A 3,169-nucleotide genomic window follows, 5' to 3' on the forward strand; every position below is an offset into this window, starting at 1 on the left:
GACCCCACATATTTATGTTTCTGGATCAGAGCTCCTTCTAGCATAGCTCTCACCTCTTTAGGATGTTTTCTAGGGGTTTCATGAGCTTTCCAGGCCAGGCTGACTTTAGCTCCAGGGAGACCATCTTCAAGGTTCAAAGATGCTGACAGGCATAAATGACCATCCTGGGAGTGGGAGACCTAGGCATTTTTATTTACCATAGAGACTCATACAAAAAGGACAAAATAAATAAATAAAAAGATCCTAAGATAGAGATATTTTTCATATTCTTCCTTCTGTTAATATATAAGACGACTGGGTACTTTGTTTAGATCAGTGCTATCTGCTGAAAACAGGAGGCCTGTATGCAATTTAACATTTAGTGCCATAATAAAAAAGAAAGGTGAAAGTATTTTTGATAGCATTTAATTTAAACCAGTATATTAAATATGATCATATCTATACATAATCAATATAAAAATTAATGATATTTTATATTTTTTCTCATACGAAGTCTTAAAATTTAGTGTGCATTTCACATTTAAGCACATCTCAGATAGGCCTGGGCACACTTCAGGAGCTCAATAGCCCTACTGTGGCCTGTGTGATTGTTGGCCAGCATGAGTCTGGATGGTGGCCTGGAAGGCATGACATAAGATTTATAGCTTCATGAGATTTTAGAGCTGGAGAGGAGTTTAGTAAGCGAACGCTCACTAGAGACACTGAAGGGAGAAGTCTCTGCCAAGGCCACGTGGCTGGGCCGTGGTAAGGAATTGACACAGGTCTCTGCTGTCCCAGTACCACTTCTTCCGTTTTGGGATTATCGGGAGGTAATGAAATGCAGGCCACACAGTGAACTCTCACTAGAGGGTGAAGATGACGTCGTGGTTGCGGTGGTTCTACTATGCACAACACCGTGGCTACATTAAAATAAAAGAAGTTTTAAGCCCTACTCCCCGCACGAAGCAGAGGAAGGGTGAGCAGGGAGGAGATCCTCCTGTCGTGTCCATTCTGAGCCTTAAGTATATTTCTGTTTTTCAAGGCAAATAGATTCTGGTCCACTTTTAGAAACCTTAATCTCGGTCTTCGTTGTGTCTGGTGAATACATGAGTGACCAGCAGGTGGTGCCAGAGACAGTTGGTAGCCAGGGAATGCCCTAACTGTCCTCGGCTGGGATAGCTGAGGTCACTCACTGGCTGGAGTTGAGCATCTGGGGCTCACATGCAGACGTGATGGGAAACTGGATCCTTTTAATATGAAAAATGGGTAACTGTAGAGCTAATTCTTATTGTATAAAAATAGCACTCATTTTTTTCACTTTAATAGATATTTATCAGGCTGGGTGTGGTGGCTCATGCCTGTAATCCCAGCACTTTGGGAGGCTGAGGCGGGCAGATCACCTGAGGTCAGGAGTTTGAGACCAGCCTGTCCAACATGGCGAAGCCCTGTCTCTACTGAAAATACAAAAGTTAGGTGGGTGTGGTGGTGTGCACCTGTAATCGCAGCTACTGGGGAGGCTGAGGCAGGAGAATTGCTCGAAACCCGGGAGGCGGAGGTTGCAGTGAGCTGAGATTGTGCCACTGTACTCCAGCCTGGGTGACAGAGTGGGACTCCATCTCAAAAAAAAAAAAAAAAATTATCAAAAGCCAATTCCAGATCTGGCCAGGAAAAGCATAGAGAAAATCCTGGAGGAGATAATTTTGAAGGACTGGCATTAAAAAGGAGTGTAAAATATGTCCTTGATAAATGTTATATTGATTACAGGTTGATGTGATAACACCCAGAGTGTAACGCAATCAAGAGAGTTAAAGGAAAAGTGGTAGAGAAGTTCTTTGTGGAAGGAAAAACATGAAGGAGGATTAACTAATCGTGGATGACTTCATGAGGTGGCCCTGAGGCCCACCTGTGGTGTGGGGATGAGGAGGACTTTAGTAAGTGGTCAGGATGGATGAAGTGAGAGGGTCAGGGAAACTTAGACCTAAGGTTGGGAGGGACCGCAAATATTTCACGATCTGACTCCCACTACTCACATTTGATGCTCGAAGCCCCTTCTTAGAACAACTACTAGGTGGAGATGTTTGTCTTTGAAGGGACAGCCTGTATGAGTCCGCTTAAGAAAAACCCAGTTTGGCAGGCTTTGTGAACTCAGAGGTTATAAGCAAGCAGCCTCCAGGCTAAATCTAGTCCACACAGGTGTGCAGCATGGCCTGCATAGCATTTTACACAATTTTCAAATTAGTGATTAATATGTGAGCGTCTAGACTTACCATGGAAACATCCAGGTTTCTGACTGGAGGTGCACAATGGGTGTCCCCTGTGGTCAGGACAAGTGTCTCTCTGCTTGTTTGGCTTTGTGTTCTCTGCTTGACCTGGTAGCTTTAGAGTTTAAAATCTTTAGCTTAACTGCTTTAATCGCCCTAAGATTTCCATGTTCTCTGTGAGCACAGAATTTAAGAAAGCAAGAGTATATATATTCCTCTTTTTAAATAAACCTCCCAATGAACAGATGTAAAATTTAGGAGATAATTTATGTGGAATAAGATAAAAAGAGAGGATATCATTTCTTAAAATGTTTGAGATGAAAAGAAAGTAGAATGAAACAAAAATCACAACACGGATTGTTGATTGGAAGCAGGAAGGCAGAGTCTACACTGCAGAAAATTTAATCAGGAACCGGGGATAAATTTTTGAAACTTCTCCAGAACACAGAGAACGGTAATAAGGATGAAAAGAGAGAAGAGATATAGAAGTCAGAGATTGCAAGTGCAACCTGCAAATTATAAGAATTCTTGAAGAAAGACATAAAGCAAATAGATTATATGCAATGTTTGAAGGAATAATAGAAGAAAACGTTCCAAAATTAAAACAAAACAAAACAAAGCCACTTGGATGGAAAGTGTTTTTCAAGTTTTTCAGGCAAATGTAAAATTTATATTCCAAGACAAAGCCTGATAAGGATTTTTACATTTCAGTGATGAATGGAGAGTTCTACAAGCTTCCAAACAGAAAATTAGAAAACACAGAAGAGTTTACTTTAAAAGGACATAAATTGGCCCTGGGTGCGGTGGCTCCAGCCTGTAATCCTACCACTTTGGGAGGCAGAGGCAGGAGGATCACTTGAGGTCAGGAGTTCAACACCAGTCTGCCAACATGGTGAAACCCTGTCTCCAGTAAAAGTACAAAAAATTAG

The 3,169-nt window shown here is 41.7% G+C and overlaps 1 annotated feature.

The window, feature by feature from the left end:
- Window positions 1,436-1,593: a silencer, noted in NCBI's record as "fragment chr5:154519696-154519853 (GRCh37/hg19 assembly coordinates)". NCBI's record gives its function as "represses an EF-1alpha promoter that drives an FKBP-Casp9 reporter gene in an ReSE screen in K562 erythroleukemia cells {active_cell/tissue: K562}" and the evidence as "EXISTENCE:reporter gene assay evidence [ECO:0000049][PMID:32094911]".

Source organism: Homo sapiens, chromosome 5 (assembly GCF_000001405.40).
Source record: "Homo sapiens chromosome 5, GRCh38.p14 Primary Assembly".
Taxonomy (NCBI): Eukaryota; Metazoa; Chordata; class Mammalia; order Primates; family Hominidae; genus Homo; species Homo sapiens.